General features: G+C 42.2%; 1 protein-coding gene across 31 annotated transcripts in view, besides 2 other annotated features; it reads left to right on the top strand.

The window, feature by feature from the left end:
• Nucleotides 1-13,369, top strand: part of IGF2BP2 (insulin like growth factor 2 mRNA binding protein 2) — a 181,913-nt gene that overhangs the window by 81,879 nt on the left and 86,665 nt on the right. The gene's annotated exons all lie outside the window — the stretch shown is intronic.
• Nucleotides 9,110-9,159: a silencer, noted in NCBI's record as "silent region_14976". NCBI's record gives its function as "represses an Ori minimal core promoter by ATAC-STARR-seq in GM12878 lymphoblastoid cells {active_cell/tissue: GM12878}" and the evidence as "EXISTENCE:reporter gene assay evidence [ECO:0000049][PMID:35858748]".
• Nucleotides 10,842-11,341: an enhancer, noted in NCBI's record as "H3K4me1 hESC enhancer chr3:185449611-185450110 (GRCh37/hg19 assembly coordinates)". NCBI's record gives its function as "activates a minimal SCP1, AML or CMV promoter by ChIP-STARR-seq in primed H9 embryonic stem cells {active_cell/tissue: H9 hESC(primed)}" and the evidence as "EXISTENCE:reporter gene assay evidence [ECO:0000049][PMID:30033119]".

The raw sequence follows: 13,369 nt of genomic DNA, 5'->3' as shown, positions 1-13,369 counted from the left end.
TTAGTATGAATTTTATTGTTTGCCTTTATATTGTGCAATGCAGTTTGTTTGTTTGTTTATTTATTAAGACGGAGTCTCACTCTGTCGCCCAGGCTGGAGTGCAGTGGCACGATCTTGGCTCACTGCAACCTCCGCCTCCCAGATTCAAGCAATTCTTCTGTCTCAGCCTCCCTAGTAGCTGGGACTACAGGTGCACACCACCATGCTCAGCTAATTTTTGCATTTTTAGTAGAGACGGGGTTTCACCATATTGGCCAGGCTGGTCTCGAACTCCTGACCTCGTGATCTGCCCGCCTCAGCCGCCCAAAGTGCTGGGATTACAGGCATGAGCCGCTGTGCCTGGCCGCAATGCAGTTTAAAATGCAAATATGAGAGCATTTAGCTTGTTATCACTGAAATCATGCAGTTCATATTTTGTACTTCACACATTGTTCTAACCAAAATTGTGGAAATGCTGCATTAAACTAACTCAGCTGTTTTTGTTTCACTTTTATTTTTATTTTTTTTGAGATGAGATCTCACTCTGTCATCCAGGCTGGAGTGCAGTGGGGTGATCATAGCTCACCGTAACCTCAAACTCCTGGGCTCGAGTGATCCTCCCACCTCAGCCTCCCAAGTAGCTGGGATCACAGGTGTGCACCACTACGCTTGGCTAATATTTTTTTTTCGAAATGGAGTCTCACTCTGTTGCCCAGGCTGGAGTGCAGTGGCGCAATCTCGGCTCACTGCAACCTCCACCTCCTGGATTCAAGCAGTTCTCCTACCTCAGCCTCCCAAGTAGCTGGGATTACGGGCACCCGGCACCATGCCTGGCTAATTTTTTTGTATTTTTAGTAGAGATGGGGTTTCACCATGTTGGCCTGGCTGGTCTCGAACCCCTGACCTCAAGTAATCCACTTGCCTTGGCCTCTGAAAGTGCTAGGATTACAGGCGTGAGCCACTGTGCCTGGCCGGCTAATTTTTTTTTTTTTTTTTTTAAGAGGTGGGCTCTCACTGTGTTGCCCAGACTGGTCTCAAACTTATTTCACTTTTTAAAAAAATTTATCATTTATTATTTCACTTCTTAATATATGCACATTTTACCAATATTCTCCACCTTCAGCTTACTAATGAATAATGGAGCTATGGAAAACTAATGGAAAAGAAACTATGAATTATCTCTTCTTTTCCTTCTATAACATACAACACCATTTTTAGTGTAAGTGGTTGGCTAACATGAAGAAGTAACATGAGTAAGAGGGGTTGTTCATGTTTCTCAGAGTGCCATTGCCTTCTTTCTACATTCAAGGCAAATTCTAGTTCCAGTAGAAAGTGTGGTCTCTTGGGCTGCACCCACACATACTCAGTCATAGATATAACATGCTTACCTCGTGCTTGCTCTGCATCTTGTGGAACTCCCACTCATGGTGGGTCTACCAAAATCCCGTACTCATTGGGCATCAAATGAGCTCACCCATGAAGCCAGCCCTGACTGTTGTAATTTTTGTAATGACAGTGGCCAGTTACTGTTGTCACCCTTTCCATGGCTTTTTGTTCTGGGTTGAGTTCTCCTTATCTGTAATCCCATGGGACCTGGAATTTTTCTCTGTTCAGAGCGAATTCCAGGTTTTTGACAATGACAAATAGCAGTTATTCATGGGACAGGGTGCCACTCACCACTGATACCCATTCATTCTTTTATCTTGTGTCTATTGGTCAAATTAGCCCATGGATCCTGAATAGGAAAGAAATGAATCTGAAAGGTCAGCTTTGAGATTTATGAAGTTCAATAAAAATCAAAATTGACAACCAGTAGCTTCAAAATTGTACTTCTGCTTGCAGCAAGGTATTCTGCATATGGTTCTGTTGGATTTATAAAATTATCGGTAGGCTGGCAAGAGGTTTGAAAATCAATAACTCGCTGAACTTATCTCTGAGAGGATTTTTATATGCTATTGGAGTATTTTACCCTTGTGCCTTTGACAGAACAATTTCTCAAGAAGGAAATATGCGGCCGGGCACAGTGGCTCATTCCTGTAATCCCAGCACTTTGGGAGGCCGAGGCTGGTGGATCACGAGGTCAGGAGATCGAGACATCCTGGCTAACACAGTGAAACCCCGTCTCTACTAAAAATACAAAATTAGCCGGGCATGGTGGCATGTGCCTATAATCCCAGCTACTCAGGAGGCTGAGCAGGAGAATTGCTTGAACCTGGGAGGCGGAGGTTGCAGTGAGCCGAGATCGCGCCACCGCACTCCAGCCTGGGCGACAGAGCGAGACTCCGTCTCAAAATAAATAAGTAAAATAAAATAAAAAAAGAAAATATGCAAACATTTCCTCAACTTGCAGCTACTCTTGACAGTCCCTTGAGTGAGTATAGACCACAAAGCTTGGTAATTAAGAGCATAAGTCCAGTTTGGGCAGACTCAAGCTTACATCCTGGCTCTAACCTTTACTAGGTATATGGCTATGAGTAAGACACCTATGGTTCTGAGCTTGGTTTCCTCACCTGTGAAGAAGCAATGATAAGAGTAGCTCAAAGGATTACTCTTGATAACATTAAGAAAATAGGTTAGTTTGACCTTTGACATAGAGTAGGTATTCAATCAGTTTTAACTATTATGATTATTAGCATAACACAGAACAAAAAGACTTCAAATGACTATACTTCTAAGGTTGGGAGGTGAGTAAATCTGATACTCTTGGCTAGTTCTGTTGGAAACTCAGCAGGTAGACATTTAATATGAAGGAGAAAATAGTACTGGTCTGTATTAGACTGTGAATGTTTTGAGAATGGGAAACTGTGTGTTATTGATTTCAGTGTCCTCAGCCCAGCACAGTGCTTGGCACATAGTAGGTGCTGTTGATTAAATGGTAAATGAATGGTTTAGTGTTTTATTCTTCACCTTGTATGATATGTATCTTTCTAAATATGCAAACAAACATTTATTTTTCATGCCAGTCCAATTGTGTGGACATACATGGTTTTGTGTAAAGATCCCCTTTGCTTTTCAACAATTGAGAAGGAAATAAAAAGGCCGGGTATGGTGGCTCACACCTTTAATCCCAGCAGTTTGGGATGCTGAGGCGGGTGGATTGCTTGAGCCCAGGAGTTAGAGACTAGCCTGGCCAACATGGCACAACCCCGTCTGTACTAAAAATTAGACAGGTATGGTGGTGTACGCCTGTAGTACCAGCTACTCAGGAGGGTGAGGTGGGAGAATCACCTGAACTTGGGAAGTCAGGGCTGCAGTGACCTGCATTTGTGCCACTGCACTGCAGCCTGGGCAATGGGAGTGAGACCTTGTCTCGGGGTGGGGGGTAGGGGGGGTGGGGGGGAGGGAAAAAAAGGACATAATTTGATGGTATATTTATTTTTAATAAAGATGGAGATAAATGGTAATTTTCAATATCTGAACGTAGGCTGACCTGAGTCTTAAGCACGGTGGCAGATGGTCTGGAACCTCCGCCGAGATCTGGGTTGCATTGTGGGGCTAGACAGAAAGAGAAGCTTCGCGTGTCTGGGTACCTGGACTCCTGGTCATAGCCTTCCCTTAGAGCTCCCTGACTAGAGAATCTGTCCTCATCACGGGACAGCATCAGTGTGTCTGCTCCTGGCCAAATTCAGCTGCATTCCGGCAGGTGGTAGTGATTCCTGAGGAGCCAGGAGAAAGCCAGGCTGTCATTTAGATTCAAGGGAAGATCTATTTGCCTTTTGATAACAGAAGGGTTTAGGAAGACATTTGAGCCATACGGCACAATTTGAAGGACTTAGTTTAAAAGAAAATAATTGACAGAGTAATTGGAATGCTATCTTTTTACAGTTTATAAAGAGGCCCCTTTGTATGTGTTTTTCTGCCAATTCTGTTTAAATGCCCTGCAATTTAAACACACTGAGGATTAGAGACCAGCAGTGATGTTTGGGCTTTGAAAATTCCAGGACAGGTTAGAGGCTTGTAACCTAGTACAGTTGCAATGGCCGTTTCGTTTTGTTTTAAGTCCACCGTTGTAATCCCTATTCCACAAGAGTATATTTTTCAGAACGCTGCTAAATCCCAGACATGGATATTTATATATGCCACCAAAGATATGTGAAAACACATATAAAAGGGCAGCTTTTAGGAATATTTTTATTATTTGAAAATTGATCTGATGTCATTAATCATTTCTTGTGCTATTTTTTAAACTGGGTTTTGTGACTTTTTTTGTAGCTCCAATTGATTTAATTTTGTAGGAGTGGAAAGGAAAGTTATTCATCTTAACTTATAGATATTCCCACTTTACCTGAGAAAGTATTTAAGGATCTTTAAGGATTAAAGGTCCTCTTCAAGCTTGACAATCTAAGTTTTAAAGTTTGTATTTAGCAAAATTATTGTTTAATACTTGTTTTTATAAAACAGCATTCTCTGTGAAGGAAGCAGCAGTGATCTTGTGCCCTTTGTTGGATGAAGTACCAGGAATATTTTCTGATTGCTTTCTCCAGGGACAGAAATGCAACTGTAAATGATAGAGATTAAAACAATAAAACTGCCCAGTGAGGCTTAGCCCTGAATTGCTAAACCTTCATATAATAAAACATTTTCTGAGAGAGGATGGTAGTGGCTGCAAAGACCAACAACTGGTTCCTCTGCCTGGATTCATCTCTTTCGTTCTCCCCTCTCTGGTTAAGACTTGCTCATCCTTCAAAACCCAGCTCGGATATTGCCACCTCCCTGAAGCCCTTCCTGACTCCCCTAGGCTGTTCCTGCCTCCGTCTTCTGTGTTGCTTTTATACTTTTCATGTTCTCAAGGAAGGACCTCTGCCCACAGTGCTCTATAATTAGTTCTGTAATTATTAGTGTTTATCTTTTACACTAGATTATGAGCCCTTTAAAGGCAGGATCTGGGACTATTTCATCTTTGTGGTTTAACCCCCAGTTTTATTGCCTGGAAAATAATAGGCACTCAGTTAATGTCTTTTGAAGTACTAAAGATTCTGTTGAATACTTACCACAAGGCGACATCAAAATAGATAGCAAGTGAGGATACTTAATCTTGGTAGAAATGAATTTATTTTAGATTTTTTCATGCCTTTATTTATGAATTCTAAAAGCAATTCATTAGATTTGGAATAAAGATAATATCCAGTGTTGGCAATGGCCTGGTAATACACTGTTAAACATTGGCAGTGAGGGTAGAAATTGGCACACTCTTTCTGGGAAACTATTTGGAAATTTGAGGCCTAAATATGGTCACACCCTTTGACCTAGTAATTCTGTTTCTCAGAATCTACTCTAAAGAAATAATAAGAGATCACCACAATGTTATAAAGCATAATCCAAGAGACAGCAGGAACAGCTTCCTGATATTCTGTGATCCAAACCAAGTACTGAGTGTCTAAGAACTGGGGATGACCATCATAACTTCTCGAGGTCTTTGCTTCATGTTCTCCCACATTGTCTAGTCTGTCTTCTTGTGTAGAGTAGAAGTTAAGTAAATACTTGTAGTAAATGGATAAATAATTCTTTGAAGTTGAAATGTAAAGCACTCAATGTATAGAATAATGTAACTGTTACTGCGAATGCCACTATCAGATTTAACAAGTTATTTGACATACTTGTTTCCAATTTTTTTGTTTATGTTTTTAATATTGTGCAAATACTATATGCACACATTCTTTGTGCACATTTACTTTATAATCTGCAAAGTGATTTTATATTTTATACTCTCTTTTGATCAAGCCAAAAAAGGTGTTACTCCCATGTTATAAAAGGGAAAACTGAGGCTTGGAGCAGATCCAGGACTAGAACTACCACTTTTGACTCCCAGTCCAATATTTTTTCACAGTAGGAGTCTTTGGAGAACTCTTAGGAAACAAGGAGCACCTAGAATGTTTATTAAGGGAGGGTGTACATCAGCTCCAGAAAGATGTTGACAGATTGGAAGGAATTTAAAGAGGAGCCAACGCTGCTGGAAGGAAGGACATAGGAGAGATGAAAGGAATTTAATATGTATAGCTTGGCCAACGGATGATTAAAGGGGATATGATAACAGTCCCTAGGAATGTGAAGGATGTAAACATCATGGAAAGAGAAAATGTATTTAGAATCAATCAAAGCAGTATATAAAAAGAAATACAAATTAATGCGAAACATCACAAAAAGCCATTTTCATGGTGACACTTGTTAGCTTGTAAATTAGAGTCCCAAGACAAGTATCAAAAGCCCTTCTAAGACATTTAGGACTAAGTTATTCTGCCTAGATTTGGGGAGGGCTGTTCCATTTCTAATTTTGATGGCTGAGATCATGTCCCTTCCTAGCATAGATTTGCCACCCAGTACTGATGGCACAGTTTTGCGTATCAGGGTCAAAAGGAAAACTCTTGTTACAATCTGTGGAAGCCAAATTCAGGCATGTCCCCAACATTGTGCAGTCCGACATCGCAGAGACTGCCCGTGAAGCCTAACTTGAAACCCTAAGTGTTGAGCTCATTAACTCTGCCATCAGATGACTGATTCCCCACCTGCATGGTGTCCCCTGCTGGGAATTTCAGGTTGTGAGCAAGATGCAGAGATGTTCTCTTATTGTTTAATTCACGGCCACATTGGGTAAGCAAGTGGGCCTATTCCAGTGGAGGAAATGTCATCCCCAAGATGTTGCCATCGCATGGGTAGGGAATGATGGTGCACATATTGTGTGTGTGAAGCCATGTCCCCAAGAAGGGGAGCCGAACCCATGGCAGTGTCAAAATCTGAGGTCAAAGCTGTAAAAAGTGTTCACCTTGGATTGAGATGTGGCCATGGAATTATCTCTACCCCATAGGAGTTAGGCAACAGAGATGTCCTTCAAACTAAATCAGAATTTAGAGGGCAGTCTTAAAAGGAGGAGTGTGGTGTTTGGAATGGAAGGGTTTGTTGGGGCCCTTGGAAGGAGCTGGAAGGCACTCAGACCCTGTGAAAGAGTGGCCCCCCCACCTCCGAGTCCCCGTGACCTTGGCCCAGTACCCCCTTAGACCTAGAGGTGCCAAGGCAGCTTCAACCAGGTGCAGGAGCTGCTGGCCTTAAGGATCTGATGGATTTGATCCAACAAACTGGACTGAAACGGTGATCTGGGGGACCCCTTGGGGCCTGTGACACTACCACTAAGAAAAAACTCTGAGAGGGAGGGTGGATTCCTTCTGGTTAGCCTTACTGGAGTGGTCCAGCATTCTGTGAAATCAGAGCTGAGCTAGGACTTGAGATAACAAAGTGTATGCATATAGTTTATAAACTAATCTTCTCCCCCGTTTTCTGTGGTCTTCTTTGGTGTCACTATCCCACCCCCCATTCATTCACTCATTCAACAAACTTAATGAGCTCCACTTCTGTGGCTAGTTAGGAGTCCATGCTGTTAAGGATATGAATTAAGATCATGGTGATGGAAATGAAAAGGTATATTTTTAGAAATATTTAAGAGTTATGGATGTGGGATTAGGAGATGCTATTTAGTGGCAGAGCTGTAAGTACAGCCTGGGTCTTCAGGTTCCTGGGGTAAGGAGCCTTCCCCTCTGCTGTGTAAAGCTTATTATCTCCTCCCGGAGGAACTCTGTAATTTAGCTCTTTTTTCTTGACCAAGGACTTGGCATGAGACTGACCATCGATAATGCCAAACACTGTCATAAAAGCAAAGATATGAGAGCTTTGTTCTTAGCTATTTATATTTATGCTGTAAATCCTTTAAGATAGACATAATTGCTGTGCACATAGATTAAGGGATGTAAGGCCAGGCACAGTGGCTCATGCCTGTAATCCCAGCACTTTGGGAGGCCGAGGCAGGTGGATCACCTGAAGTCAGGAGTTCAAGACCAGCCTGGCCAACACAGCGAAACCCCATCTCTACTAAAAATACAAAAATTAGCCTGGTGTGGTGGCTAATGCCTGTAGTCCCAGCTACTCGGGAGGCTGAGGGACGAGAATCACTTGAACCCGGAAGGCGGAGGTTGCAGTGAGCTGAGTTCATGCCGCTGCACTCCAGCCTGGGCGACAGAGCGAGACTTGGTCTCAAAAAAAAAAAAAAAAGGATTTAAATGTATTTTCAAGCATTGATATTGTCATAAAATGTAATTCACTGATAAAATGCACATAAAATTAATATATTTTCTTTAGTCTGTAACATTAATAATCTCATCTGCCTTTTAGAGTAAGGACTGCCTTTTGTAGCTTGAGCACTTATGTGTGCTTTCATGTTACAACGCTGTCTTCGCTATTACAGTGTGAGGGAGCTGCTGCTCTTATCTCCACTCTGCAGAGGGGAGATTGAGGCACGTCGGAGTTGAGTAATTGGCCAAGGTCAAATGGTAAGTGGGAAAACCTGGATTTGAACCCAGGCAGCCTGGCATCCAACTCCAAAATCCTTGACCTCTATACTCTAGTGTTTCTGACAGGAGGAGGGTTTTGGAGTTAGGTTTTAGCCTGAGTCTCATAAGATCTGTCCAAAGAAAGTTGAGCTTACAATTAATTTCCCTGCTGTAAGCAGGAAAATTAAAATTATTTTTTTCCACGTTACTGCTGCCTTAAATACTGTAGACAAGTTTCAGCGTACTTCTCACTTCATTGGAAACCTATAAAGATAATTGCCAGGTGCTAACACACACTTGTTAAAAACCAGCTTTCACTCGTTTTTAACAATGCAAAAGTGAGCAGTTTCTCATCTGCCCAGTGTATGATTCTTTGCTCAGAAGAAGTAGAATGGATGAACAGAGACGCTGAACGATTGTGGAATTTTTGATTATGCTTTAATAGGGAGGTAAGGAAAATGTATACAGGATTTGGGAACTAGACAACGTGAGTTTGCATTTGGGCTCTAGCATTATGATCTCTCTGACCTTGGGCAAGTCACTTCACCTCTGAGTGTGTTTCCTCTTCTATAAAATGGGGTTGATAAGTTGCCCAACCCGCCCTCACAGAGCTGTTGTTGGAATTGAATGAGATAAAGTATGTGAACACGTTTCACCTATGTAACTATGTGCAGATGCTCATTACTGCCATGGCTAGGGAGAGAGGTGCCGGAGCAGAGGTGAGCAGCTGCCTAGAGGAACTTGAGCAGGTTTCCCTGGGTTACTGTATTCCTAAGGAAATGTGCACCCTCTTGTGGCGAAGTAAGGGGGTTAAGGGTTCTTGTGAAAAATACTTCAGTGTTGTTACTGTGGGATTTTTTTGGTCACCAGAAATACTTTCCCAGTAATGAATGTACACACTCTTTCTAAACAAATCCTTAAATTGCAAGGTGAGTGAATTATTTAGTCCTTACCCAGTTTTTAATTTTTCTTCATGTCTTTCCTGTTCCATTCATAGAGAGACTTGCTAAACTTTTCATTTTCCTAAACTACTGTTTGTTTGTTTTTAATGTGCTTGTTGCATTTACTTTATTTTTGGCTCTAATTTATTTATTTATTATTATTATTATTATTGAGGCGGAGTTTCGCTCTTGTTGCCCAGGCTGGAGTGCAATGGTGCAATCTTGGCTCACCACAACCTCCGCCTCCCGGGTTCAAGCGATTCTCCTTCCTCACCCTCCTGAGTAGCTGGGATTACAGGCATGCGCCACCACACCCAGCTAGTTTTGTATTTTTAGTAGACATGGGGTTTCTCCATGTTGGTCAGGCTGGTCTCGAACTCCCGACCTCAGGTGATCCGCCTGCCTCGGCCTCCCAAAGTGTTGGGATTACAGGCGTGAGCCACCGCGCCCAGTCTGGCTCTGATTTATTATCTGTTAAATTTTAAACACATAGGGCTTTCTTTGTCTGCCTTTGCTAACATAGGACTTCTGGTGCTTAGCATCTAGTAAATGCTCAGTAAATGATGATGAGTGGGTACTGACAGTCTTAACCATTCCTCAGTTTCCTTCTCCCTTTGACTGTGGAGCACCCTCTTTTCCTTGGGATCAAGCTTCCTGAAATATACGGAAATGGATTGAGAAAATATGGCTTATCAATCACTTTACATTTTCTCAGGTTCCTCTTTAGTAAAATAAGAATGAGAATAGATGATTTCCAAGATTCTTACTTTGTAGGGACAAGGGAATCAGATGATTGTGTTCTTTGGCAGAGCCTAGTCTGTGAAATGTCTTATGACTATCAGCTTTATTGTATCCTCCCCTAGTTCCTAGATGAATAGGGTGGGGAAGCAGGAGAATGCAGTATAGTGGAAGGAAGGGAAGTGGGGTGATGAACAACAGGATAAGAGAACATTGTGGTGGGCAGGTTGGGGGAGGGATTAACAGGACAGTAGCAACATTCCAGAAAGAAGCTGTAACATCCTGAGGTATGTGAACATTTTTCAAAACGTATACACATGGTATTATCTGTGAGGCCTACAGGGGATTATCTAACTCAACATCCTTTATTCCCACACATTGCTTACATTAAATTTGGGGAAAAAATATTTTCTCTAATTGAGTTATGAAGTCCTTGGTCATGTAGCAGTTCAAGCTACAGCAGTGACTTTATAATTGTCTTCATATACTCTTCATTTTATTAAAAATTTCTCTTTCCAACCTGGTTGCTTAAAAGCATTGTTTTGATTTTAGAGAGCTTGAGACATGGGTCTTGCAGAAGGAGGCCAGCCGTCTCCCTAGGGAGGGTCCTTGTAGTATGTTGGGGGCTGGGCAAGGGGTGCTTGCCTTAGAGGGTTTTGAAGTCCCAGATTTGGATCTCAGTTTTACAGTTTCAGGTTTCACACCAGTCTTAACTATATCAAGACTTGCTAGTGAGTCAAAATGTCAGTTGTTTATCATACTGAGAAATACTAAAAATCCTGTACTGTTTCTCCCAGCTGGTCAACATAGTCTTCCCTGGAGAAGCCACATTGCTGCTGAAAGATTGGTTGGTGCATGTTAGGGAGTTGCTTGGTTTTATTAATCCAACAGATCTTTTCTGAGTTTCGCTCTGCATGCCAAGTACTGAGGAAGGTACCAGGATTAAGAAAAAATTCTAGCTTTCAAGGCCTCACACTCCCAATAGAGAAAAAGCCACATAAACAAACATCAGAGCCATGTGCTTAGTGTATAGAAAAGGGATATACAGGGTTCCCGGGGGCAGAGAGGAGAGGCTGGCACTATATGTTTTGAAGGAGGGTTGGAGTTTCCCAGATGGACCAGAGAGAACAACGAGTGCACAAGACTAGAGGCAGGAGCTGAACGTGCTCCGGAAACCACAAGAAGTCCGGAATGATCTTTTTTTTTTTTGAGACGGAGTCTCGCTCTGTCGCCCAGGCTGGAGTGCAGTGGCATGATCTCAGCTCACTGCAAACTCTGCCTCCCGGATTCACGCCATTCTCCTGCCTCAGCCTCCTGAGTAGCTGGGACTACAGGCACCCGCCCCGACGCCCGGCTAATTATTTTTTTGTGTGTATTTTAGTAGAGATGGGGTTTCACCATGTTAGCCAGGATGGTCTCAAATCTCCTGACCTCGTGATCCGCCCGCCTCGGCCTCCCAAAGTGCTGGGATTACAGGCATGAGCCACTGCGCCTGGCCAAGACTGATCTTTAAAATTTATTGTCATTAAGCCTTAAAGACCGATAAGAAATTGGGTCCTTGAAACTTACTTGCCGAGAAGTCTGTAAAATTCATAGTGACTAGGCATGGCTCCCCTCCGTCACCTAGAAAGTGATGCAGACCTGGTGCAGCGGCTCACGCCTGTTATCTTAGCACTTTGGGAGGCTGAGGTGAGCGGATCACCTGAGGTCAGGAGTTCAAGACCAGCCTGGCCAACATGGTGAAACCTCATCTCTAGTCTCTATTAAAAATACAAAAATTAGCTGGAGTGGTGGCACATGCCTGTAATCCCAGCTACTAGGGAGGCTGAGGCGGGAGAATCACTGGAACCCAGGAGGCGGAGGCCGCAGTGAACCAAGATTGCACCATTGCGCTCCAGCCTGGGTAATACAGCAAGACTCCATCTCAAAAAAAAAAAAAAAAAAGAAAGTGATGCAGCTACACAGCCTGCTCTTTGTCTTCTCTCCTTCTAGGTTCCATTCTGTACAGCAGTGATTTTCAAATTTTGGTCTCTGTATCCCTTTATACTCTTAAAAATTACTGAGGAATCCAAAGAGCTTTTGATATTTACCACATCTGGAGTTAAAACCGAGGAAGTTTTAAAGTATTTATTCATTCATTTTTTTAAAAAATTACATTTTAATGTAAACATCAGTTTATTTAAAATAACTATATTTTCTGAATACTAAACATTACTAACCATCAGAGAAATGTGAATTAAAACCACATTGAGGTATTATCTTATACCAGTCAGAATGGCTATTATTAAAAACTCAAAAAAAACAACAGATGTTGGGGTGGATGCAGAGAAAAAGGAATCCTTATACCCTGTTAGTGTAAGTGTAAATTAGTACAACCTCTATGGAAAACAGTACGGAGATTTCTTGAAGAACTAAAAATAGAACTACCATCATCTCACTCCTGGGCATCTACCCAAAGGGAACCATTGTATAAAAAAGACACCTGGGCTGGTGTCTTGGGAAGCCAAGGTGGGCAGATCACCTGAGGTCGGGAGCTCGAGACGAGCCTGACCAACATGGAGAAACCCGGTCTCTACTAAAAATACAAAATTAGCCGGGCGTGGTGGCGCATGCTTGTAATCCCAGCTACTCAGGAGGCTGAGGTATGAGAACTGTTTGAACCCTGGAGGTGGAGGTTGTGGTGAGCCGAGACTGTGCCATTGCACTCCAGCCTGGGAAACAAGAGTCAAACTCCGTCTCAAAAAAAAAAAAAAAAAAAAAAAGACACCTGCGCTTGTATGTTTATCATCGTACCGTTCACCATAGCAAAGTCGTGGAATCAACCTGGGTGCCCATCAACTGATGATTGGATAAAGAAAAGGTGGTATAAATATACCACGGAATACTATGCAGCCATACAAAGGAATGAAATTATTTCTCTTGCAGCACCATTTGTATTTCACATTATCTTATGTGAAATAACTCAAATACTGCATGTTCTCACTCATAGTGGGAGCTAAGCAGTGGCTACACATAGACATAAAGATGAAAATAGCAGACACTGGGAACACAAAGGGGAAAGGGTGGGAGTGGGGTGAGGGCTAAAAATTAACTATTGTGTACAGTGTTCACTATTTGAGTGATGGGTTCAGTAGAAACCCAAACTTCATTATGCAGTATATCCACGTAACAAACCTGCACACATACCCCTGGAGACATGAAAACCAAAACAATATTTTTTCTAAAGTCTAAAAATCTTAGCGAGAATGGATACATTGTTTTACCTTTTTGTTTTTACAAATCTCTCTGATGCCTTGCTTAAGAGAAGATACATATATTCGCATGTCTGCCTCTGCACTCAATCTGATGCAATACATTATTTTGGTTGAAAAATATGAAGGAAATCTGGGTTCATCC

Source organism: Homo sapiens, chromosome 3 (genome assembly GCF_000001405.40).
Source record: "Homo sapiens chromosome 3, GRCh38.p14 Primary Assembly".
Lineage (NCBI taxonomy): Eukaryota > Metazoa > Chordata > Mammalia > Primates > Hominidae > Homo > Homo sapiens.
The sequence above is the reverse complement of the archived record's forward strand: the minus strand, read 5'-3'. Positions and strand labels throughout refer to the sequence as shown.